This window comes from Homo sapiens, chromosome 8 (assembly GCF_000001405.40).
Source record: "Homo sapiens chromosome 8, GRCh38.p14 Primary Assembly".
Classification (NCBI taxonomy): domain Eukaryota; kingdom Metazoa; phylum Chordata; class Mammalia; order Primates; family Hominidae; genus Homo; species Homo sapiens.
This window is the reverse complement of record NC_000008.11, coordinates 123006903-123032663: the sequence shown is the minus strand read 5'-3', so window position 1 is coordinate 123032663 and position 25761 is coordinate 123006903. Positions and strand designations below refer to the sequence as shown.

The 25761-nt window shown below is 41.9% G+C and overlaps 1 protein-coding gene and 1 long non-coding RNA gene across 5 annotated transcripts in view; one reads left to right on the top strand and one right to left on the bottom strand.

The window, feature by feature from the left end:
- DERL1 (derlin 1) overlaps positions 1–19494 on the top strand; it is a 29133-nt gene extending 9639 nt beyond the window's left edge. The window contains exons 2-8 of one of the 4 annotated variants that reach the window (NM_001134671.3): positions 1948–2059; positions 7614–7678; positions 8925–8951; positions 9885–9980; positions 11165–11217; positions 13419–13469; positions 17079–19494. In NM_001134671.3, coding sequence (NP_001128143.1) covers positions 1948–2059; positions 7614–7678; positions 8925–8951; positions 9885–9980; positions 11165–11217; positions 13419–13469; positions 17079–17217 — 543 coding nt within the window. In that variant the 3' untranslated portion in view covers positions 17218–19494. Of the gene's footprint in view, positions 1–1947; positions 2060–6891; positions 6942–7613; positions 7679–8924; positions 8952–9884; positions 9981–11164; positions 11218–13358; positions 13470–17078 lie in introns of those variants that run through there. The other 3 variants (NM_024295.6, NM_001363963.2, NM_001330601.2) reach the window with 3 other exon arrangements.
- The window catches only part of LOC124902013 (uncharacterized), a 28197-nt gene continuing 4343 nt past the window's right edge, over positions 1908–25761 (bottom strand). Inside the window, exon 2 of the long non-coding RNA XR_007061083.1 lies at positions 1908–2434. This is a non-coding gene — a long non-coding RNA (uncharacterized LOC124902013). The remainder of the gene's footprint in view (positions 2435–25761) is intronic.

Sequence of the window (25761 nt, the reverse complement as noted above, 5' to 3'; positions counted from 1 at the left end):
TCTTCCTCATTCCTTGGATGCACCTTGAAAGTGCTAAAATAAAACCATGAACACTTACATTCTTGGAGCGAAAAGACTTTCTAAACATGACACATCATGGATACATATGCCTACATTTAATTAAACTTTTGTATGTCAAAATATGGCAAAAACACCATGAAAGTCTAATGACATCAGAAAATGCTTGCAATGATGAGAAAGAGAAATTTCATAATGTATGAGGAAATGCAGCCAGGTGCGATGGCTCATGCCTGTAATCCCAGCACTTTGGGAGGCCAGGACAGGTGGATTGCTTGAGCTCAGGAATTTGAGACCAGCCTGGGCAACATCAGGAGACCCTGTATCTACAAAAAATATAAAAATTAGCCAGGTGTGGTGGTGCATGCTGGTAGTCCCAGCTACTTGGGAGGCTGAGGTGGGAGAATCACCTGAGTCCAGGAGGTGGAGGTTGTAGTGAGCTAGGATCATGCCACTGCACTCCAGCCTGGGCATCAGAGCAAGATCCTATCTCGGGGGGGAAAAAAAAAATGTAAATCCAGAAAAACAAATGAATAAAGGAAATGCTCAGGTTTTTAAAACGTGAAAAGGTGCTTGACTTCTCATAATGCAAATAAAAATTAGTTTTCAGATTGGTGAATATATAATACATGAAATGGTGAGAGTATGGAGAGAAGACAGGATTCATCTACTTTTTAGGAGGAAGTATAAATTGAGCAAACATTTTTGTAGGCATTTGGCAGTATCTACCAAAATAAATGGTTATGTCTGTTGCTCTAGCAGATTTATTGACAGGAACTTATTCTGTATATGCACATATAAAGAGGATATACAAGAATATTCATTGTGGCATTGTAACAGTTTAAACAAAAGTTTAGACATTCACATACAAGGAATACTATGAAGCCAATTAAAATATTTTGTAGGGAATGAACCAAGGTATAAAACAGTGCCGTATAGAGTAGGATAAAGAAGAATGAGTAATAGTAACATGTATTTCTTAGAGGAAATACAAGACACTGATCAGCTGTTGTTGGGGAACTGGGAGACTGGAGGTTGGGAATGAGGCTTACTTGTTACTTTATTATTTAATTTATTTTAATTAAATTAAATTTAATTTTTTGAGACGGAGTTTCGCTCGTCACCCAGGCTGGAGTGTAGTGGCGCGATCTTGGCTTACTGCAACCTCCGCCTCCTGGGTTCAAGCGATTCTCCTGCCTCAGCCTCCCGAGTAGCTGAGATTACAGGCCCCCGCCACCTCACCTGGCTAATTTTTGTAATTTTATTGGAGACAGGGTTTCACCATGTTGGCCTGGCTGGTCTTGAACTTTTGACCTCAGGTGATCTGCCTGCCTCAGCTTCCTAAAGTGCTGGGATTACAGGCATGAGCCACCGAACCTGGCCTGCTTGTTACTTTAGACCCTTCTTATGTTTTGTTTGTTTTTTCAGGGAAATGTTTTTAAAGAAAAAGTGCCCCTATTGCCTATTTAGTGCATTGGTTTGAATAAAAAATTGTTGTTTTACTTCTGCCTTTGAATGTGGCATTTTTGGACAAGGTTTGTCATTCCAGAATATTCTTTCCCTAAATAGAGGCATTACTGTACTGTTGGAAATTAAGCCTTTGTAATTCATTTTTTGATGTAGGCTTAATTGTATGCCTGATCTCAGCAAAGACTAACCATATACTCATATAGTATTGATTTTGTTTCAACTTGTTTAGAAATATTTGTTGCTTATTTTATGATGTCGTTTTATTCCATTGATTTGCAAAGTGATGTGATTGTATTTGGTGTGAACACTTTTCTTCAGTTGTTTTCTTGAGTTGTGTTGGTAGGATCACTTTCACACCTCTCATTGAGGAGGATGCTTTGTTAATTTTGTTTAGTTAGAAGGGAAAGAAATAACCAGGCTTACAGAAACTAACAGCTGTGTTTATTTTGATCTGGACAGATTTGGAGGCCAATCACTGCCACCTTTTATTTCCCTGTGGGTCCAGGAACTGGATTTCTTTATTTGGTCAATTTATATTTCTTATATCAGTATTCTACGCGACTTGAAACAGGTATGTTACCCATAGTTGTTTTAAGCATTGTTTCTTTCTCATTTACTAATCCATGTGTTTACTTTGGAGGAATTTGGAGGGCAGTTAGCATTACAAAAAGAAACTGCATAAAGATAGTAAATGCTTAGTGACTGTGCCAGGACTGCACCAGGCACTTAGCTTACTCAATTTTTAATCCTCACAACATCCTGAGGTATAAGTAGCAGTGTTACCATTTTATAGATGCAAAAAGTAGCAGATCAGAGGTTGACATGGCTTGTCCATCTCCTTAGTGGCTGAGCTGTGTGCCTTTCATTTATTTTGAGGGTCTCACTCATTTCTTTTGCAGCAGTCCTTGTCCTTCAGTGCAGAATTGGGCTGGAGTATATATGTCTCCTAGATTGGGGTTGAAAAACATCAATTTATGTAATTAAAAGCCTAGATTTATTCTCTAATTGAAAAACTCAACTCTAAAATACAGTATATAGCCAAGATTTAATAATATATGGTAGTTTATCAGGTATGAGTACCAATGTAATATTTTATTTTATTTATTTATTTATTTTTTGAGACAATCTTGCTCCGTTGCCCAGGCTGGAGTGCAGTGGTGCCATCTCAGTTCACTGTAGCCTCTGCCTCTCGGGTTCAAGCAATTCTCATGCCTCAGCCTCCTGAGTAGCTGAGATTACAGACACCTGCCACCATACCCGGCTAATTTTTATATTTTTAGTAGAGATGGGGTTTTACCCTGTTGGCCAGGCTGGTCTCAAACTCCTGACCTCAAGTGATCTGTCTGCCTCAGCCTCCCAAAGTGCTGGGATTACAGGTGTGAGTCAACGTGCCCAGCCAACCTATGTAATATTATGGATAAGTTCGAAAAATCTTTTCGTAAAAGTGTCTTACTGAATTGTCATTTATTTCCTACAATACCTTATATGCTGTCTGAGTCACTTATACTAAAGAAACAATACATCAATACACTGTGTTACAATATGGATATAATTTTGTTAAATTTAAATGACTTTGAAAAGGCTGACTGACTTCAGAGACTTTATAAACTTGCTGGCTGTTACCTCAGGATAGAGAACTCTGAACTACCCTTAAGTGTATGTAAGTCAGTGCTCATATGGTTGAGAATTGCGAATCAGTCTCATCACTGCAGGGAAATAGTAGGATGGGTATTTGATGTCAAGTAACATTTTTCCTTAAATTGGCATTTGCTTTTAGGTTCTTTTTAAAAAGAAAGAAATTGTATTAATACAAAGTGTAAGGTCATAGACTATTATATTACTATTGGGAGGAACCTAGTTTATTTCCTGAGTTTTACCAAAAGATGAATAGGAGATTCAAGGAAGTAAAGTAACTTGGCAGAAATGAAACTGACAACTAGGCCTCTCACCACCATATTAGGGGTTTGATCTTTAAATCTACCAGAATATGTGATTTTTATTCTCCTTTGTTCCAGTTGGACCCATAATGATACTGAGTGCTTAGCAGTCTGCCTTTCTGGTATAACTTAATTGAGCATTAATTTGTTAGAGTAATTTTTTTTTTTTTTGAGACAGGGTCTTGCTCTGTCACCCAGACTGGAGTATAGTGGCACAGTCATGGCTCCCTGCAGCCTTGACTGCCGGGGTTCAAGTGATCTTCCCACCTTAGCCTCCCTAGTAGCTACAAGGATGGGTGTTAAACCGCCACACCTGGCTGACTTTTGTATTTTTTGTAGAGATGGGGTTTCACCATGTTGCCCAGCCTGGTCTTGAACTCCTGGGCTCAAGAGATTTGCCCACCTTGACCTCCCAAAGTGCTGGGATTACAGGCGTGAGCCACTGTGCCCAGCTGGAGTAATTATTTTATATTGATAGTAAACGTTATATCAATAGTAAAATAGATTAAGTGTGGATCATTTATGATCAGTTATTTAAAATTTTATTCTGGAAAATTTTCAAACATATGCAAAAGTGGAGGGAAAAGTCAATGAACCTTTTTTCTTTTTACTGAGACCAAATTCACATAACATAAAATTCATCATTTTAACCATTTTAAGGTGTACAATTCAGTGGTCTTTAGTATATTCACAATGTTATGCAGCCATCACCACAATCTAATTCCAGAACAGTTTCATCATTCCCTAAAAAAGCCAAAGCAGTCACTCTTTACCTCCCACTTTCCCTCCTCCCAGCCTTTGGCAACCACTAATCTACTTTCCGTGTATATGGATTTACCTATTCAGGACATTTCATATGTCCTTTGGTGACTGGCTTCTTTCACTTTGCACAATGTTTTTAAGGTTCATTCCTGTCATAGTGTGTGTCAGTACGAACCCCTCCTTAACCATCTAATGGTTATCACCTCTAATAGTTATCTCATAGCCAATCTTGTTTTATTTATATCTATTGCTGTCCTCCACCCCTGATTATTTGAAGCAAAATGCCAGGCATTTCATTTGTAAATATTTCAGAATTTAACTCTGAACTATAAGGACTTAAAACATAATTCTAATGCTATTATTAAACCTAAATTGCAATAATTCCATGGCCACTTTTTTTTTTTTTTTTTTTTGAGATACAGTTTCACTCTGTCACCCAGTCGGGGGAGTGCAGTAGCGTGATCTCAGCTCACTGCAACCTCTGCCTCCTGGGTTCAAGTGATTCTTGTGCCTCAGGCTCCCGAGTAGCTGGGATTACAGGTGCATGCCACCACATCTGGCTAATTTTTGTGTTTTTGGTAGAGATGGCATTTCGCCATGTTGGCCAGGCTGGTCTCAAACTCCTGACCTTAGGTAATCCACCTGCCTCAGCCTCCCAAAGTGCTGGGATTACAGGCGTGAGCCACTGCACCTGGCCAATGGCCACTTTTATTTTTAATTGCCTTCTTGTGCTTTGAATCCCTTTACCCAACCCTATTACCTGGTCAGGTAATACAACAAATTGTAATGTTATTCTCTCTGAATACCAATTTAGGACAAATTTGTGGGATTATTAGGTCACTGGTCTCTTTTATTTGCTTTGATTTTTATAAGTTGCCTCCTCATTCCCTACTCAACAACTACAGAGCATTTTGAAAGGCTTGAGCTGAGAGGCATTTTTTAACAGCTTTATTGAGATGTAATTCATGTACGGTACAACGTACCCATTTAAAGTATACACAATTCATTGGTTTTTAGTATATTGACAGAGTTGTACAGTCATTATCACACCCATTTTTATAATATTTCACCACCCCCAAAAGAAACCCTACCATTAGCAGCCATTCTCCCTTTTCATTCAATCCCTTCCTCCCCCACACCCTTAGGAGACCACTAAATTTTTTTTTTTTTTTTTTTTTTTTTTGAGACAGGGTCTCACTCTGTCGCCCAGGCTGGAGTGCAGTGGCACTGTCTTGGCTCTTTGCAACCTCTGCATCTCGAGTTCAAGCAATTCTCATGCCTCAGCCTCCTGAGTAGCTGGGACTACAGGCACGCACCACCACATCTGGCTAATTTTTGTATTTTTAGTAGACAGGTTTTCACCATGTTGGTCAGGCTGGTCTCAAACTCCTGACCTCAAGTGATTCGCCCACCTCAGCCTCCCAAAGTGCTGGTACTACAGGCGTGAGCCACTGTACCTGACCAAAACCACTGATCTTATTGACTCTTTAGATTTGCGTGTTCTGGGCATTTCTTAAAATCATACAGTATCTTGTTGCCTTTTGTGACTTATGTCTTTTACGTAGCATAATGTTTTCAAGATTCTTCCATATAGCCTGTATCAGTACTTCATTCCATTTTATTACCATTAAGATTCCATCGTATGGATATACCTCATTTTGTTTATTCAGTCATCAGTTGATAGACATTTGACTTGGTTTCATTTTTTGGCCATTGTGAATAATAGCTGCTATGAACGTGTAGAGAGGAACTTTTGAGATCATTCTATTTAACACTCTTATTTCATAGATAAGAAAACAGTGATCTAGAGTGGTGGTGACGTGTCCCAAAAGTTGCAGAGCTCTTTGAGTTAACGCAGTTAGGACTGGAACCCAGGTTCACTGATCCCCAGTTTTCTGTCAACCACACAGCTTTAAGTTAACATCTTGACAAAATGTTTGCCACCTGCACATTTTCCTGCCTGGCTAAATTGTTAGTTATATAGCAGAGTTGGCTTATTTGAGGTTTCTGATTTGAACTGGAAGACTGTAATTTGAAACCAGTTAATTTGTAAATTCTCAGTTGCAAGCATGTCAGATAATATAGTGCTGTAATTTATATGATTACAATATTTTAAGTACTCAGTCTAAAGACTCCTTAGGAATCAGACAGCCAAAGCCACATCAAAAGAAGCACAGCTATTATTAAAATCGGGAAATTGTGTTAGAATTTCAGCTGTGATTCATCATTGTGATCCTCTAGCATTAGGCCTGCTTAACACTGTGGCTGAAGTGTGCTTTGAGGTATCAAGGGAGAAATAAAGGAGAGTAGAAGACACTTTTGCTGGAAACCTATTTTCTTTTAATTATATCTTTTTGCCTTACTGACACTTGTTGGGTTTCTTTTTTTAAATTGACTAGCTGTATCATGTAACTGTGAGGGGGTGTGGAACGGGGAGGGAAAGTAACTTTCAAGCTAGAGTGATCTTACAGTCATTTCTGTTTCTTTTTTTTTTTTTCTTCTGTTAAAGTCTTCTAACTGAAGGCATTAGGAATTATGCTTACACGGGAGGCCGTTGTTGATTATTCTGCCCAATAAGGCATATGGCGCAGTGACAGGAGCACTGTGCTAGTAATTTGATGTCACTCTGGTTCTAACAAGCTCTGTGACTTTGGTCATGTGACTTTAACTCTGCATCTGTAAGAAGCAGGTCGTAGGTCTTTCCATTCTCCCTTCCAGATGCAGTATGAGGACTGAGTCAGAGGCTATGGAAAGGTTTGGCTGACGCTTTATTCCCTCCTTCCCCCACATTGTTTTCCCTTGGTAGAATGTACGTCTCTGGAAGACAGAGACTTTCTTTTTCAGTATCTAAGGCCAGTGTGGTACAGGTGGTTGTGTGTGTGTATGTGTGTTTCTAATAATAATGGTAAGTACCTCCCAGCATAGCCATGCTGGAGGAGACACAATGGAGACAAAACAGGCATGGTTCCTCCTCTGACAGAACTTAACGGTCTAGTGGAGGAGGACAGGGATCAAGCATGTAATCCAGAATGCGGCCATCAGGTCATGGCGAGAGCCAAGAAGGAAAGGCTGACAGGCTGGGAGGGAGCTTGGGGGGCCTCACTGGTCTTTGGGATACAGGGCTCAGAAGCTGTGGAATTGACTGTACTTTCTCTGGGTCTGTTTTAGCCTGTGGTAGTCAGAGCATGTCACTTACTGGAATTCAGTTAGGAGAGCATAGATTAACCTTACTCAGGTAACTTTGATTCAGGGCTTTATTGGGGACGTTGTTTAGATATTTTTAAAAATTCACTTTTTTAGAGAGGAGTGGTTTTTAAAATGTTCTCATTTTGGCTTTTTCTGTAACTTTTTGAAGTGTTTCTCTATGTAGATGTTACTTTGTTGTGAAATTCTGAACCATGACATTTGGCTTGTTTTTGTTTCCAGGAGCTTTTGATGGGAGGCCAGCAGACTATTTATTCATGCTCCTCTTTAACTGGATTTGCATCGTGGTATCCTTCAGTCTGTGATTTTGGGCCAGAAATAAACCAGTTTTTTTCCAGGTTTGGGGAAATAGACCATATTCTGTAAACGTTTCAAATTACAATATTTGCATCTTGGTTGACTACCGTTAATAAGAATAATTATAGTTTTTTAAAAAAAACTGTAGTAAATCATATAGCCCTTGAGTGATGCATTCTCTTACCATTTGTGGGATTTTTTTCCACCTTTGGTTGAGTAGTTTTATGACTGTTCCCTCTTCTTGTTCCCAGTTCTCTGTGTTCTCATGTGTGACAGCTTGTTGACTGAGGCACAAAGAGAGTCCGTGCCATGAGACAGCTTTTGAAATCTGTGGTCCTTATCAGAAAATTAATTTACAACCAGCATCCTTTTCTGACTTCATTGCTGTCCTTCTCTTGGGGTCCTACATAGTAATTCAGTCCCTCTGTGAAGTACCCAGCTCTGGGAAGGGACACAGTACGTTTCTCTGCTTTGTATCAATAGCAGTTGTCAGCAGCCCTCCAACTGCAGGACTCTTACAGATGGTGAGAGCAGCAGCAGCTCTCGATGTCTCAGGTCCTGTGCAAAATTGGTGAGCTCAAAATTGCCTTTGGGCTCAGCTGCCATTTAAACTTGGCTGAGGGCCAGAAAATGTGGCACTGTGGATGCCCTTTCCCCCCTCCTTTGAGGGAAGGAAAAAATATTTTGGACTTTAACCATGCTATAGAGTCCTGAGAATGTAAGTAGAATGATTATTTCCTTCAAAGGCTACAGGCATCTTCATCCTTTATTTGAAGGAGAGATGTTAAAATGCAATAGCAGAGAAAAAGGATGCCAGATGACCAGACTAAGTCATATGCGGAAGCTGTTGATTTCTACTATGTCCTTGTCATGGTATCGTCTAATGGAATATGCATAATGAAGATTAGATACCTTTGTGTTGTAGAATGTTTTAAGCAATCTGAACTATAGAAAAGTATTTTCCTTCAGAACACTGGAATTAACTTAAAAATTTTTTTAATTAAAAAAATATGTATATAAATTAGAGATGGGGTCTTGCTATGTTGCCCAGGCTGGTCTGGAGCTCCTGGCCTCAAGCAGTCCTCCCATCTTGGCCTTCCAAAGTACAGAGATTACAAGCATGAGCCAAATTACACCTGGCCAAGTGAACTTTTAAATGGGAGGAAAATAACCACATCAGTCTTGACTAGGTACAGAATGCTTTTTTATGTCTGATCTTTAACTTTACAAACCAAGATTACTGGCTTAGCAATGGATATGCAGGTAAGTGTCCATTTAAACTATCTATTTGCCCTTTTATTTGTTTCAAATATACTATTAGTGGCCTTTGTCAGAAGTTGAAATTGCATTAACTATGGGGTTAATTATGTGGTATTTTGAAATTATGGAATTACAGCTGTTTTATTTATTTATTTATTTATGAGATGGAGTCTTGCTGTGTTGCTCAGGCTGGAGTGCAGTGGCTTGATCTTGGCTCACTGCAACCTCCGCCTCCCGGGTTCAAGTGATTTTCCTGCCTCAGCTTCCCGTGTAGCTGGGATTATAGATGCACGCCACCACACCCGGCTAATTTTTGTATTTTTAGTAGAGATGGGGTTTCACCATGTCACCAGGCTGGTCTTGAACTCCTGACCTCATGATCCGCCTGCCTCGGCCTCCCAAAGTGCTGGGATTACAGGCATGAGCCACCGTGCCTGGCCTATAGCTGTTTTATTTTGAGGATCTTAAGTCAGCTAAATCTTTGAAGATCTTACATGAGCTATCTAAATCATTGCTTTCCTTGCTCATTTCTGGCCTCTTTTTGGTGTTTGAACATTGACAATAATGGTTGTCTAGTATTTTCTAGGCATGTGACAACAGTGGTTGTCTAGTATTTTCTAGGCATGTATATGGATGTTTTTTAAAAATTGAGATTATATGGTAATGCTTTGTTGCTTACTTTTTGTAAATAACAGAGCTTGACTCTTACATTTCTGAATCCATCTAAAATAATATAGTTTTGTTGTATTTTATTATAGGATTTTGTAATATTTATTGTATGATAAATAATAGGATCAATTTATAATTCTGATCAGTTGAGTTTCCCTTTACCCAGGTGAGGATTGTTGTGAAGAGGAGGGGTAAAAAGCATAGTAGATGTACACCTTTTTTAAGTGCCTCTGGAGCCTGGTTTTTACATGTCGACTTCTTTTGCAGTTGCTGATGATTCCTCTGATCATGTCAGTACTTTATGTCTGGGCCCAGCTGAACAGAGACATGATTGTATCATTTTGGTTTGGAACACGATTTAAGGTACTTTGCCTTGGTTGGAAAAGTGTCCTTTTCATTTGTCTGCAGAAATCCCTCTTCAGTCCAGAGATGTACTTTCTGACTCATCCAGAAGGGGTCACTGCAGAGCAGTGTACCATAGGCAAGCCCCTTTCTGCCCTCCTCAATCCCAGCTCTATTTAATTAGCCAGCCTGGAGTCCGTTGCTGGCCTTTGTTTCTTCACTCCCTCTGTACCTCGGGCCCCTCAAGGTTATGTCCCTGAGTGATCTTATGTGTCTGTGTTAGAGAGAAGGAGAGATAACTCATGTGAAACCCTGCTTTAAAAATCTGTTCTTATCCCTCCCTCGTTCCCTGTTATTTGCTTTATACTGTAGCTGAAACAGATTGTTTTTGCCCCCAAACACTTCTCTTTGTACATTCTTTCACAATTTTCCACCTGTAACATCTTGATTCTCTTCTTTGTATAAATCCTACCCATTCTTAATTTGAGTTGGAACTGAACATATTTCCTGAATCTCCTGCCTAGAATTAGTCTTACGTTTGGGCTTTTTCAATACTTTGTGTTTCTCTTTAGTACTTAGCACATGTAGCTGTAAAGTTATTTGAGTATAACCCTCTCTTTCCTAGTTTGTGAAGTTTCTTGCAACTCCTTTAGCTCTTGGTATGATGTCTTGGATTTGGTAAGGGGCTCAAATGTTGAGTTCATCTGGAGAGCTTTCTTATTTGGGAGAGTATTAGTTTAAGATATCAATGCATAATGAGATAAAAATTCAGAGGAATTTTGCAAGATATGTAAAAGAAGAACCTAAAAAGATGGGGTATGTTTATTTTATTTGTAGCAATTTGTTGGCTGGAATCTTAGTGTGATTCTCTCATGGGCCTTGCTTTTAGTAGCATCTGTAGGACACTCATCTGCTTTTTGAAGCTGTCTGTTTATAGCAGTTCAGCAGGGCCTGTATTGCATCAGACCTGTGGGCAAAGTACTGTGTCCTTCCAGTTACAAATACACAATTAAGTCTAGTTTTAGATAGGAAGGTTTAAGTATAGTGGGAATAATGCTAGATTGATCCTAGAAATTTTGCAGTGACCTTCCAGAGGATTTATATAAAGCCCTTGTCAGTGTATCCTTACCCACTTTAGTCCCCGTAGTAGCTGTGTCCTCGTCAGGTGTGGCTACTCACATTTGCATATATTCATTCCATCCTAGGCCTGCTATTTACCCTGGGTTATCCTTGGATTCAACTATATCATCGGAGGCTCGTAAGTGATATTAGATTTATTTAATTGGAAACTAATCCTTGGAAAATTTCCATTAGTTTTTATCTTTCTCTAACCTTTATACAACTTTAAAGAATCTCAACATTGACGCATTAGAACCCTATATTTATGGAATAATTTCACTTCGATTGAATTGATTAGATTGCAGGGCTTTAAGCATATTTAACCTTGAATGGTTGTGATTTTGTTAACTTATTGTTACACACAGTATGTTCCTATGTGTATAGTACAGGAATAAATATGTATTTCTGGATTCACTATTCTGATTGGGCAAACAGAGACCTAATTTTTGTCTGAGTTGGCTCCTCTAAGAGCTATGTATAAAATTACTATGTCTTATATTCTTAAGGCATTTCCAGAATGCCTTGGAAACTGCCTATCGGTCATAGAAATCCAGATTCTTAGATAGGATATAATTTTGCAAGTGGTTTGATGATACAGAACTTTTTTTTTTTTTTTTTTGAGACGAAGTTTCACTTTTGTTGCCCAGGCTGGAGTGCAATGGTGCGATCTTGGCTCATTGTAACCTCTGCCTCATGGGTTCAAGCAATTCTCCTACCTCAGCCTCCCGAGTAGCTGGGATTACAGGCGCCCGCCTCCATGCCCGGCTATTTTTTTTTTTTTTTTTTTTTGGGATTTTTAGTAGAGATGGGGTTTTGCCATGTTTGCCAGGCTGGTCTCAAACTCCTGACCTCAAATGATCTGCCTGCCTTGGCCTCCTAAAGTGCTGGGATTTCAGGCATGAGCCACCATGCCTGGATGATAATACAGAACTTTTGGCCAACCAGGGTCAAATATCTAGTCTATTGGTCAGGAATTAGAGCTAGACATAGGAATAGCTTTAATTTATCCAGTCAGAATTTTAAAGGGAGGATACCAAGATGCAACTTCTCTAAGAACTCCCATTTCTTCATTTTTTCTGTTTATTTATTTACTTATTTATTTTTTCAAGATGGGGTCTGGCTCTGTCACCGAGGTTGGAGTGCAGTGGCGTGATCTTGGCTCACTGCAACCTCTGCTTCCCAGGTTCAAGCAATTCTCATGCCTCAGCTTCCCGAGTAGATGGGATTACAGGTGTGCACCACCACACCCAGCTAATTTTTGTATTTTTTGTAGAGATGAGGTTTCGCTGTGTTGCCCAGGCTGGTCTCAAACTTCTGACCTCAAATGATCCGCTCACCTTGGCCTCCCAAAGTGCTGGGATTGCAGGCATGAGCCACTGCACCCAGCCAGAACTCCCATTTCTTATACTACAAACTACTTTTAATATTTCAATCCATTTTTATATTGCTGGTTCTTCATGTGTCTGACATATTTGCTCTGTGTGATCCTAACTTCTTCTGCATATTGCTGGGGAGAAGTGAATGGATGGAGCAGACTGTTTAGAGCAAAGCATGTTCTGAACTTGGCAAAGCTGCTCTTCCACCCAGGAAGGTGAAGTCTGAAGTAGTTGCAGGTGTTGATTTGCCCCTGACGGGAATCATGTTGCAGGTGAAGACAAAGAGGATTTGTAATAGTAACAGTAGATCTATACACTCTTGAGGTGACCTGTATGTAAGCCAAGGGAAAACTGAAGAAGGTCAGCGTTGATTTCAGGGTGCAAGTCGGCTTTCCTAAGTGATCTCTGTGGTGTCTTACACTCAAGGATACAAGAGGCAAGGGAGAAGTGCTTAATGGCTCCAGGAAAGGGGGAACAGGCATTTATTGTTCCTCTTTTCCTTACTCCCACGCTTCTCTCTTGGTAGCCTTCATGTTTGCCCACATTTTATAAATACAATATTCATGACTGAAAGCATTCAGAAGCATGCTTTGCAACTTCCCCAACTCTTGAGGCAGGAAGTAGCAAAAACAATATTTTGAGGATGGGCTGGTGCTTGAAAGAGAGGTCAGAGGGGCTGCTGGCCTTGAAGAGTGGCAGGCCTCATTGGTTCAGCAGGACTGATTTCCCGTCTCCCTCAGAATGCATTTGCCACTCAGACTACAAAAGTGCTCATTGTCAGCTCTCACAGACTCCCAGGGACTAAATGGGCTGCCTTGAAGGCTCTCTTCCTTATGCTATTAGTTAAAACTTGGTGCATCTCTATTGCTTGAATGTCTTTAAACTCATTTGGCTCTCTTTGCAGGGTAATCAATGAGCTTATTGGAAATCTGGTTGGACATCTTTATTTTTTCCTAATGTTCAGATACCCAATGGACTTGGGAGGAAGAAATTTTCTATCCACACCTCAGTTTTTGTAAGTGTTTTTGTCCTGTCTCATCTAACATTTTACTGCCTGTGTTCTTAGTGCATCCTAATGAGAGCTCCATGAGGAGTATGATTTACCCCTATGCCCCATCTGCTGGAGAAACCTGAGGCAACAAGTGACTTACCCTAGTCACACAGTCACAGGAAGTTAGGGATTAAAGCTTAGGCTCAGTTGCCTTCCTGTTACTCTTTTAGCCAGGGACCACTGACAACTAGATTCCAACATTACAGGAGGCATCTCAGCTCTCTGAGCCTGCTGAGGGACCTGATGCAACTCCAGAGTGCGAAACAGTAGGCTGGTGAATGGGCAGAGTCACAGGTTAGTGGGGTGTCTTTTCTTGGCCCATCAGTTTTTACCCATGATTTTGCCCAAGGAAGGGTAAGTTAGCGTGTTGGTCAGCAATTTTAAACATTTTTATATTAAATACTATGGAGTAGACATTTTACAGGACTGTTCAGAGTTAAAATGAGAGACTTGAGGTTTGTATAGGCCCAACCCCCTGGGAGTTTGTGCTCTTTATCTGCTTTTAGGGTTTACTGAAGTGGGCTGGTAAGGGCAACAGCTTTGATTTTTGAGACAAACTTGGATTTGAATCCCAGTCCCCTCAGATAGCAGTTTTTATACTGGGAAAGTTACTTAATCAAACCTCCAAGCTTCAGTTTGCAAGCCTGTAAATTGTGGGAGAAGCCCCTGTCTCACAGGACTGCATGAGGTAAGATACACTGTTGGGAAGCACAGTAGCGGGTTCTCGGTAAGTAAAGCTAGCTGCCATATTCCTAAAGGTGGGGGTAGGAGAGCAGGATTTTGACGATCTGAGAGGAGACGCGCACACACCCAGAAGCATGTAATAGTCGTGTGACCGTTCTGTCAGTGAGGCAAAAGGCTGTCGAAGAACGGGCCAGTTAAATCACCATCTGGGTGTCACAGCCTGCCTGACAATCATGCCTAATCTCATATCAGGGATATGCAGTAATAGCTTGCATTTGAAAGCTTTAAAAAAACAAACAAACCAAACCCTTCCACATCTTGCTAATTTTAATGTTTTGCAGTTCTGTCATTCCTCTAAGGGATCAGTGAGGGCAGTAAAACTTGAGCAGGCCTCCTCTTTCTCCCCTTCCTTTTATAGGGTAGGGGTATGTTTTTCAAAGACTTTTCAAATTGTGAACTGTAATATACAGAGATATACCATATTGGTGGTTGTGGTGTGTGTGTTTTTCTTTAAGAGAATAAAAAGAAACTTGTTTCTCTTCTGAGCCTTGAATTGCCTTCAGGCTAAAAAAACAAATGACCAATCTGGTTTCTAATTATCAAAGGACATAATAACAGCAGGTTTGGCTTTCTGATCTAGGTTTATCAAGTAGGATGGCAGATGCATCAATTAAAAAAAGCTTGGTGCTTTTGGGGGGCAGCCAACAGTTACTTTACTTTAAATGGCCATATTCTAACTTAACGGCTTGTAGCTACTTCTCAGTTGTGGGCAACACAGGATACAAGATTCTAGTGGCAAAATCAGCGAGCCCTGGAGCCTGCCTTCCACTTGAACTTTCTCTGTTGGGGGAAGTCCTTCTGCTAAATTTTGCATAAAGATCAGATGACAAAATACAGCTCCTTGCAAAAGCAGTAACTGCTTTGAAATTACCATAAATTTTTGTTGATTATGTATAATTGGGTATCTTTTTATACTAATTATTTGCATTTAATTTCACTATCTACTTAAGCAGTGGAGATGGCTTCCATATTGTCTTAGAGTGAGTAGCAAAGCAAGACAGCCCTAGCATTTTCTCCAGCAAGTGTTCTATTTTATTATGTACTTTGGAGGAATATTATTGTACCAGAAGGCATGGATGTTGAGAAACCAGCACTTGGAAAATACATTTTGATTTAATGGTAAAGCTGTATTTGTTTAAAATGGAGGAGGTGAGTATAGGAAGGTATAACTGCTTTTCTAAATGGAATGCTGATACATTTGTATCACCATTTTCCATTCCATTTAGAGTAGTTATATCTTCTCTGTACACACTAAATTTTGTGTTTAAAAGGGGTTTTTGGCCAGGCGTGGTTGCTCACGTCGGTAATCCCAGCATTTTGGGAGGCCGACGGGTGGATCACGAGGTCAGGAGATCGAGACCATCCTGGCTAACATGGTGAAACCCTGGCTCCACTAAAAATACAAAAATTAGCTGGACATGGTAGCGGGCGCCTGTTGTCCCAGCTACTCGGGAGGCTGAGGCAGGAGAATTGCTTGAACCCGGGAGGTGGAGGTTGCAGTGAGCTGAGATCATGCTACTGCACTCCAGCCTGGTGACAGAGTGAGACTCCGTCTCAAAAAAAAACAAAAAAACAAAAACCCGAGTTGTTGTCTGTTTTGGGAAGAGGCATGAAGGTATCGAGTATGATGTAAACAGACTCCAGTCACTGACTGCTGTCCCTTCCCAGGCAGGATGCATGTAGTATAACAAGTAGTGCAGGGCGCAGGCTCTGGAACCAGGCTGACTAGGTTGGAATCCTGTCACTTTCGAAGCGCTTCACTCAGTGTTGGCTCAATTTTCTTGTTTATAAAACAGGAGTAATAGTAATGCCTACCTCATGGGGTTATTGTGAAGATCAGATGAATTTATAAGCAGGCAGCACCTAGTGTAAGGCAATAATCACTGAGTAAATTCACATAGTAACTGCTCTAGTATAAGGTCAAGTATAAAGCCTGTCCTCTTCAGGGTTTCTGCTGTGGACAAGTCACCTGTCATGACTTACTCTTGCTGCCAAGAAGGGTTTAAGCGGAGGTATCAGATCATGCTCTCTGCCTTCAAGCAAAATTTTAAACATTAGGATCTGCTAAGTGGAATAGGTTTAAACACATTCTCAGTTTACTAATAAAAGAGTCAAAGATGGGAAATAGTTGGAAAATACTATTGAGAGTGTAGGCTTGGGTTTAAGTTCTCTTAGCTGTTCTGTGAACTCTTAGTTTATTAATTTTAAGGTGGGAAATCATCTAACCGTCTGGGGCCCCAGCTCTCCCACCATCTGTGAGAAGGGAAGAATGTACCTGGAAGGCAGATTCTGAATAAATTTTAAAACATACCCATACTTCCAACATAGAAAGCCTTCTTCCCCTGTCTCCTTTGATGGGCTCAGCTGAGAGCCTTTTAGAAATGCTGTGCAAGGCTCAAACATGCAGGCTGTGGATTTGGCCTTTGAAAGTGAATGTATTTTGTATCCTTTGATCCAGTTTGAGCCATATTTAGATATACCAAGATGCTATCAGTCATTCTTTGGTTGCTGGGCTTGTGGGTGTAATATTTTTGTTTCCATACTGTTCTGCATGGATTACTTTTATAAGCAGAGAAAAAAACGTTCAGAGTGTGAATTTAGCTGAAATCTGAATACATTTAAGAAACATGAAAAACGAATGCCGTCTGTGGTCAGGTCATGGGGCTGAGTACAGAAAAGACAAAGTTAAATAAGACGTCCCTCGCTGCCTTCAACATGACAAGTGCCATGGGAACAGCAGGAGAGGGAGGTGTTCTCGGAGGTCAGATAACTATGTGGAAGTGACTTTGTTCTCTTCTCTCCGTTTGTGTCCCCGTCTTTCTGCACCAGGTACCGCTGGCTGCCCAGTAGGAGAGGAGGAGTATCAGGATTTGGTGTGCCCCCTGCTAGCATGAGGCGAGCTGCTGATCAGAATGGCGGAGGCGGGAGACACAACTGGGGCCAGGGCTTTCGACTTGGAGACCAGTGAAGGGGCGGCCTCGGGCAGCCGCTCCTCTCAAGCCACATTTCCTCCCAGTGCTGGGTGCACTTAACAACTGCGTTCTGGCTAACACTGTTGGACCTGACCCACACTGAATGTAGTCTTTCAGTACGAGACAAAGTTTCTTAAATCCCGAAGAAAAATATAAGTGTTCCACAAGTTTCACGATTCTCATTCAAGTCCTTACTGCTGTGAAGAACAAATACCAACTGTGCAAATTGCAAAACTGACTACATTTTTTGGTGTCTTCTCTTCTCCCCTTTCCGTCTGAATAATGGGTTTTAGCGGGTCCTAGTCTGCTGGCATTGAGCTGGGGCTGGGTCACCAAACCCTTCCCAAAAGGACCCTTATCTCTTTCTTGCACACATGCCTCTCTCCCACTTTTCCCAACCCCCACATTTGCAACTAGAAGAGGTTGCCCATAAAATTGCTCTGCCCTTGACAGGTTCTGTTATTTATTGACTTTTGCCAAGGCTTGGTCACAACAATCATATTCACGTAATTTTCCCCCTTTGGTGGCAGAACTGTAGCAATAGGGGGAGAAGACAAGCAGCGGATGAAGCGTTTTCTCAGCTTTTGGAATTGCTTCGACCTGACATCCGTTGTAACCGTTTGCCACTTCTTCAGATATTTTTATAAAAAAGTACCACTGAGTCAGTGAGGGCCACAGATTGGTATTAATGAGATACGAGGGTTGTTGCTGGGTGTTTGTTTCCTGAGCTAAGTGATCAAGACTGTAGTGGAGTTGCAGCTAACATGGGTTAGGTTTAAACCATGGGGGATGCAACCCCTTTGCGTTTCATATGTAGGCCTACTGGCTTTGTGTAGCTGGAGTAGTTGGGTTGCTTTGTGTTAGGAGGATCCAGATCATGTTGGCTACAGGGAGATGCTCTCTTTGAGAGGCTCCTGGGCATTGATTCCATTTCAATCTCATTCTGGATATGTGTTCATTGAGTAAAGGAGGAGAGACCCTCATACGCTATTTAAATGTCACTTTTTTGCCTATCCCCCGTTTTTTGGTCATGTTTCAATTAATTGTGAGGAAGGCGCAGCTCCTCTCTGCACGTAGATCATTTTTTAAAGCTAATGTAAGCACATCTAAGGGAATAACATGATTTAAGGTTGAAATGGCTTTAGAATCATTTGGGTTTGAGGGTGTGTTATTTTGAGTCATGAATGTACAAGCTCTGTGAATCAGACCAGCTTAAATACCCACACCTTTTTTTCGTAGGTGGGCTTTTCCTATCAGAGCTTGGCTCATAACCAAATAAAGTTTTTTGAAGGCCATGGCTTTTCACACAGTTATTTTATTTTATGACGTTATCTGAAAGCAGACTGTTAGGAGCAGTATTGAGTGGCTGTCACACTTTGAGGCAACTAAAAAGGCTTCAAACGTTTTGATCAGTTTCTTTTCAGGAAACATTGTGCTCTAACAGTATGACTATTCTTTCCCCCACTCTTAAACAGTGTGATGTGTGTTATCCTAGGAAATGAGAGTTGGCAAACAACTTCTCATTTTGAATAGAGTTTGTGTGTACCTCTCCATATTTAATTTATATGATAAAATAGGTGGGGAGAGTCTGAACCTTAACTGTCATGTTTTGTTGTTCATCTGTGGCCACAATAAAGTTTACTTGTAAAATTTTAGAGGCCATTACTCCAATTATGTTGCACGTACACTCATTGTACAGGCGTGGAGACTCATTGTATGTATAAGAATATTCTGACAGTGAGTGACCCGGAGTCTCTGGTGTACCCTCTTACCAGTCAGCTGCCTGCGAGCAGTCATTTTTTCCTAAAGGTTTACAAGTATTTAGAACTCTTCAGTTCAGGGCAAAATGTTCATGAAGTTATTCCTCTTAAACATGGTTAGGAAGCTGATGACGTTATTGATTTTGTCTGGATTATGTTTCTGGAATAATTTTACCAAAACAAGCTATTTGAGTTTTGACTTGACAAGGCAAAACATGACAGTGGATTCTCTTTACAAATGGAAAAAAAAAATCCTTATTTTGTATAAAGGACTTCCCTTTTTGTAAACTAATCCTTTTTATTGGTAAAAATTGTAAATTAAAATGTGCAACTTGAAGGTTGTCTGTGTTAAGTTTCCATGTCCCTGCTCTGCTGTCTCTTAGATATCACATAATTTGTGTAACCAATTATCTCTTGAAGAGCATTTAGGAAGTACCCAGTATTTTTTGCTGGATTAATTCCTGGATGCAGAATTCCTGGGTTTTCATTTTAATGAAGGAGGATGCTTGCTAACTTTGAGTGAGGAGTCATATCTGATTGTAGCATGCTTTATGGCATTTTTATAGCTTCTACCCATGGATCTGAGCCCTGGAACTTTATAAAATTAGTTTAATCCTGTTTCCTCATAAGGCACACACAGACTAGATAGCAGGTGCCATGACATTCCTGAGCCCTTTTTTTTTTTTTTCCTCGAGGGTGAACATCCCAGTCTGTATCTTGGGCCTTCGACAGGCCAACTTCACTCATCACAAGGTGAGGTGACAGGAAGCAGGTTGTATGTATGTCCCTCTTCTATTACTGGGGAAATACTGAAGCAATAGAAAAAGATCCCGCTTATTTAGAAGGACACATTGCCAGTATCATTGTGTTCTAAGCTACCTTTTGAATGACATGGATCTAATAATAGGCAATGTTGCAGTTGCCAACATCTTCGTTTATTGCCAACTCTGTTTCTGAGGTCCCTGCCCCTCTTACACTTTCAGCAGTAACTTAACACTCTGAATAACTAACCTTTGAAAGAAGTTACTCCTTTCTGGACTTTATACTGTTTTTTTCTTAGAAGGCTGGGCTGAGCAAATGGGTTTACTGGCAGTTCACTTGTTTGCCTTCCAGAGTGACTGGTGATCAGAATTGGCCAGGAATACCATGTCCTGTGTTTACTTCTTTCTTAACCCTCCCTCCCACCTTCCCTCCCTGTCCCTCCCTCTTTCTCTCCCTCTCTCCCTCTCTGTCTCTTCTTTCTTTGTTTTTTTGAGACAGGATCTCAGTCTGTCACCCAGGTTGGAGTGTAGTGGCATGATCTCGGCTCGCTGCAACCTCTGCCTCCCAGGTTCAGATGATCCTCCCACCTCAGCCTCCTGAGTAGCTGGGACCACAAGTGTGTGCCACCACACTCGGCTAATTTTTTGTATTTTTGTTCGAGATGGAGTTTCACCATGTGGCCCAGGCTGGTCTTAAACTCCTGAGCTCAGGCAAGTCACCTGCCTCGGCCTCTCAAAGTGCTGGGATTACAGGCCTGAGCCACGGTGCCCAGCCTTTCCCACGATTTATATGTGTGGTTTAAACCTAGGCTCCTTCCCGTACGGTCCCCTTATCTCACATCAACTCTGCTTGTTCCAGTAGGAACGCCGTGTTCGGGGCACACCTGGGCACTGAGCATTAATGTGCCAGGTACTTTATGAAAAAGCCTCCAATTTACGGTTTTTAAAATCTGGCTATACATAAGCATTAAACTTGAGATTTTAAAAAAATGCAGGTATCTTGGCTCATTCCCATTCTACATACTTTTGAAGTTGATTCTGACGTTCAGCTGGATTTGGGAACTTGTGTTTAAACAAACTTGTGAAATAGTATTATCCCCATTTTCCAGATGAGGAAACTTAAGCTTCAAGTCCCTTGATTAAAATCAGGCAGCGGCCAGGTACGGTGGCTCACGCCTGTAATCCCAGCTCTTTGGGAGGCTGAGGTGGGTGGACCTTCTGAGGTTGGGAGTTCGAGACCAGCCTGACCAACATGGAGAAACCCCATCTCTACTAAAAATACAAAAATTAGCTGTGCGTGGTGGCATATACCTGTAATTCCAGCTACTCGGGAGGCTGAGGCAGGAGAATGACTTGAACCCAGGAGGTGGAGGTTGCGGTGAGCCGAGATTGTGCCATTGCACTCCAGCCTAGGCAACAAGAACAAAACTCCGTATCAAAAAAAAAAAAAAAAAAAAGCTAGAAGGTGCCAAAGACAGGATATGAACCCAACTCTGTTGTGGCTTTTCAGTGAAGGAAGCCAAAGCAGATGCAAATAGACGATGTCTCTGTCTTCACGATGCGTCCTTTCTACTGAGGCAGTCAGCTTGGCCCATTGTAGGTACTCATATTTGTTTAATAAGCAAACAAGTCATTATAATACAATTCACCAAACTACCAGAATAAAAGGAAGTAAATTTCTTGGATGAGAGGCTAGGTCTTGAAAGATTGATGGACAGTTCTGGTCAAGATGGAGGAAGCCACTTGTTCTAGGTGGATTTAGAAACAGCAGCAGCAAGAGCAGAAACTTGGGAAGAGAGAACCGTGTGCCTGGACCTGTAGAATACAGGTAGGGAGTGGCAGGGAAAGGGGTTGGGAAGATAGATTGGGGCTTGTATCAGGAAAATCGTTTTGTGTGATTGCTTGAACTTCAATCTGCGGGCAGTGGGGAACATTGAAAGGCCTTCATGTTTGGTCTTTAAAAAGTAGCTGGCAGCCAGGTGTGCTGTCTCACACCTGTAATTCCAGCACTTTGGGAGGCCGAGGCTGGTGGATCACCTGAGATCAGGAGTTCGAGACCAGCCTGGCCAACATGGCAAAACCCCATCTCTACTAAAAACACAAAAAATTAGCTGGGCCTGATGGCAGATGCCTGTAATCCCAGCTAATCGGGAGGCTGAGGCAGGAGAATCGCTTGAACCTGGAAGGCGGAGGTTGCAGTGAGCCGAGATCGTACCACTGCACTCCAGCCTGGGCAACAAGAGTGAAACTTCCTCTCAAAACAAAAAAACAAAAAAGTAGCTGGCTGCCCCGTGGGGAGTAGAGGGAGAAGGCTGGAAAGAGGAGAAATGAGATAGTGACCACATTTTGTGTTGGTTGCTGTGATGCAGGTTTAAGGGAAGAGTTGGTTTAAACCAAGGCAGTGGGATTGGGGACTGGATTGGAGGGACCTCCCCCCAGACAGAGAATTGCTGGCACTCAGTGAGGAAAAGGAGGGCTTTCTCGAAGGGGTTTCCATTGGTGATCAGGGCTGGGATCTGTGTTTCACACACAAGCTGGGTAAAATGCTATTTCTGGCTGTTGGTGCTGCAGCCATTGTAGATAATTAGGTGCTGGCATCCTAACCTGGAAACCTAGCCACTATTTGTAAGTATATTTCTGTGGAAAAAACATTGAGCTCCAAATCCATCAACTTGAATGAAAATGAACTTTTAAAATATGATGTCTTCCTGAAATGTGAACAGCTTTGCAGAAGGCCCCAGTGAAGAAGAAGCAATTCTCTTGATTCTATCACCAGCATTTAGGGCCCAGTTTAAATGTCATTTCATCAAGGAGAGGGCTATTAGACCTGCAGGCAAGGTGAAATGTCTTCTCACGTAGCCACTGGCACCCTGATCTCTGCCTTTGACGCTTGTTCCACCTGTGATCATTTGCTTAATATCCCTCCCATGGCTTGTAACCATCCTCAGGACAGGGACTGCATCTTATTTACAGCTGTTTCCCAGTGCGTAGCACAGGCCTGCCACATACAGGTGCTTAAGTGTTTCTTGCACTGAACTGAAATTTGGCCTGTGTAGGAATTTGTCCTGCTTAGGGAGAGAGCTAATAATGGCCAAGTCTCCCAGGAGCATTGAATGATTTTTTTGTTGTTCATCTAAGGGAATCATAATCCCCTGAAACAGGATATTAGAACAGGTTAGAGATAATGGGAAGAATGGACTCAAAATTAAAATACTTAAAATAAATGAGCAGCAAAGCAGCTTCTATCTGCACTGTGTAATCTGCTAATGGGTATGAGTACTGGGGTGATTTGGGCAAAAGGAGACTTGGTACAGAGTGAAGGCGGGCAAGAACACTTGGGAAGATTAATTGAAGGTATAAATTTAGCTTTCTCTCCCCCAAGGAATTCCCCAGTGGCTCGTACAAATCCACATGTATTTAGAGAGAAGGAGAAACCCCTGCCATGTCATCACGGCCAGAGAGACCCACAGGGAGTACAGAATTAAATCTAGGTGCAAGGCGTAAGGATTGCTTGGGAAATGTTTACTGAGCTCAGTGTGTCATTTGAAGCCTTAACCTGACCCAGATGAATCTGATCTCTCTTTTCTCTGTCAGTGTGTTGGCCTTTTCCTGAGGGCTTGCACTGATCCTCTAAGTGTCCTTGTTGGTTAAGGGCAGTCACTGTTAGCTTAAGGGAGCCTCTGGATTTTGATCATTACCGACTTGATGTAGAAGTAGGCTCTAAGGATGTAACAAGATGCCTCTGTCTCCACAGCCAGGCCCTCATTTGCTGTAAGCCAGTTTTCTCTTGGAGGTGCCCAGACCCCTTACTGGGGAGGAGGGATTGGGACTTTTCGTGATCACAGGCATCAGGTAGGGTTTTCTGACTGCAGGTACCCGAAAAGGACCCTCGCTAAGTTAAGCAAAAGATAATTTGTTGGAAGGATATAGAATAGCTCACAGATTCTAAGGGCCTGCTGAGAACCCTCACATGGATGGGGGACCAGGGATTCAGGCAGTAGGCATTGATCTCATCACATCCCTTGCTGGGCTAAACCAGCTTCGTCTTTGATTCTATTCTTGTATCTCTCCCTTTTAGGATTTGACTCCCAAGACTCACTGACCCAGCTTGGACCTGGTGCCTCTCCTGTGGCTAGGAATTCAGGGAAAAACATTTGATTGACAGTCCCATTATGGCTACCCTCAACAGGAGAGAGGAAATTTTCCAAAAGCAAATCAAAGTGCTCTTGCCATAAGAAGGAGGAAACGGATGCTGGCTGCCTAAAGAGCCCTACCTGGCCCACTAGAGCATGCAAGCCACATGTTGGGCCTCCTGTGAGGAGCCTCTGGCTTTGCTTCCTTCCAGCCCAGGACAAGACAGTATTTCCTTCTGTCTCCTCAGTCTAGCTCGTCTGCTGAGCATTTGCAAGCAATGTGTGCTTTGCTGAAGATTTTGGGGGAGAGGGTGGAGAGCGTTGACATTGAACATCACAGGGAAAGGGACTTCCCATGCTTGAGGGCAGGTGCTGTGTCTGTCCCATTCATCATCACATCCTCAACACCTAGCAGAAAGCTTGGCATGAGTGAGCTTTTTGAGATAAATATTTGTTGAAGAAATGAATACATTTTATAACCTAAATTCCTTTTAGCTATCAACTAGCTCCCTCCCTTTCTTCTCCAAATCCTTCCCCCATGTGGCCTCTCCCTCTAATGTCTTGGTCAGTTTAGCTCTCTGGCCCCAAACCTCTATACTCAGCCAAACAAAAGCCTTGCAGCGAGTCGGACCTACCCGCCATAGAAAGGCTCATCAGAGTTCCTCACCAGATACAGAGCAAGACTCTAGTTCAGGGAAGCAGGTGGATTTTATTTTAAAAAAATTAAGGGTCGGGCGCGGTGGCTCATGCCTGTAATCCCAGCACTTTGGAAGGCCAAGGCGGGAGCAGGAGTTTGAGACCAGCCTGGCCAACATAGTGAAACCCCGTCTCTACTAAAAATACAAAAAATTAGCCAGGCGTGGTGGTGGGTGCCTATAATCTTAGCTACTTGGGAGGCTGAGGCAGGAGAATTGTTTGAACCTGGGAGGCAGAGGTTGCAGCGAGCCGAGATCGTGTCACTGCACTCCAGCCCAGGCGACAGTGCGAGACTCCATCTCAAAAAAAAAAAAAAAAAAAAAAAAAAAAAAAAAAAAAAAAATTAAGATTATTTCCTATGTACCTACTACTCAAATTCTGCTATACCCTCTCTAATGTGTTGAATGATATATAGGCTGGGCACAGTGGCTCATGCCTGTAATCCCATCACTTTGGGAGGCCGAGGAGGGCAGGTCACTAGAGCTCAGGAGTTCAAGACCAGCCTGGGCAGCATGGCAAAACCTCAGCTCTACAAAAAATACAAAAAATTAGCCAGGCGTGGTGGTGCACATCTGTGGTCCCAGCTACTCAGGAGGCTGAGGTGGGAGATTGCTTGAGCCCAGGAGGTCAAGGCTGCAGTAAGCTGTGATCATGCCACTGCACTCCAGCCTGGGCGAAAGAGTGAGATACTGTCAAAAAAAAAAAAAAAAAAAAAAAGACATATACATGTCCTAATTCCCAGAACCTATGAATGTGACCTTATTTGGAAAATGGAAGGTCTTTGCAGATGTCATTCAGGTAAGGATTTTGAGATGAAGAGGTCACCCTGGATTATCCTGGTGGGCCCGAGTCCATTGACAAGTGTCCTATTAGAGATTTGACAGAAGAGGAGAAAACATAGGCATGTAGAAAGGAGAAGGTGATGTGGCCATGCAGGCAGAGATTGGAGTGATGTGGCCACAAGCCAAGCAAGCCAAACACCCAGGGCCACCGGAAGCTGGAAGAGGCAAGGCACAGACTCTTCCCTTGAGCCTTTGGAGGACGTGTGGTCTTGCTGACACCTTGAGCTCAGACTTCTGGTCTCCAGAACTGGAGAACTCCAGAACTGTAGAACAATTTCTATTGTTTTACATCATCAAGTTTGTGGTAATTTGCTACAGCAGCCTAGGAAACTAATACACCCCTTAAAG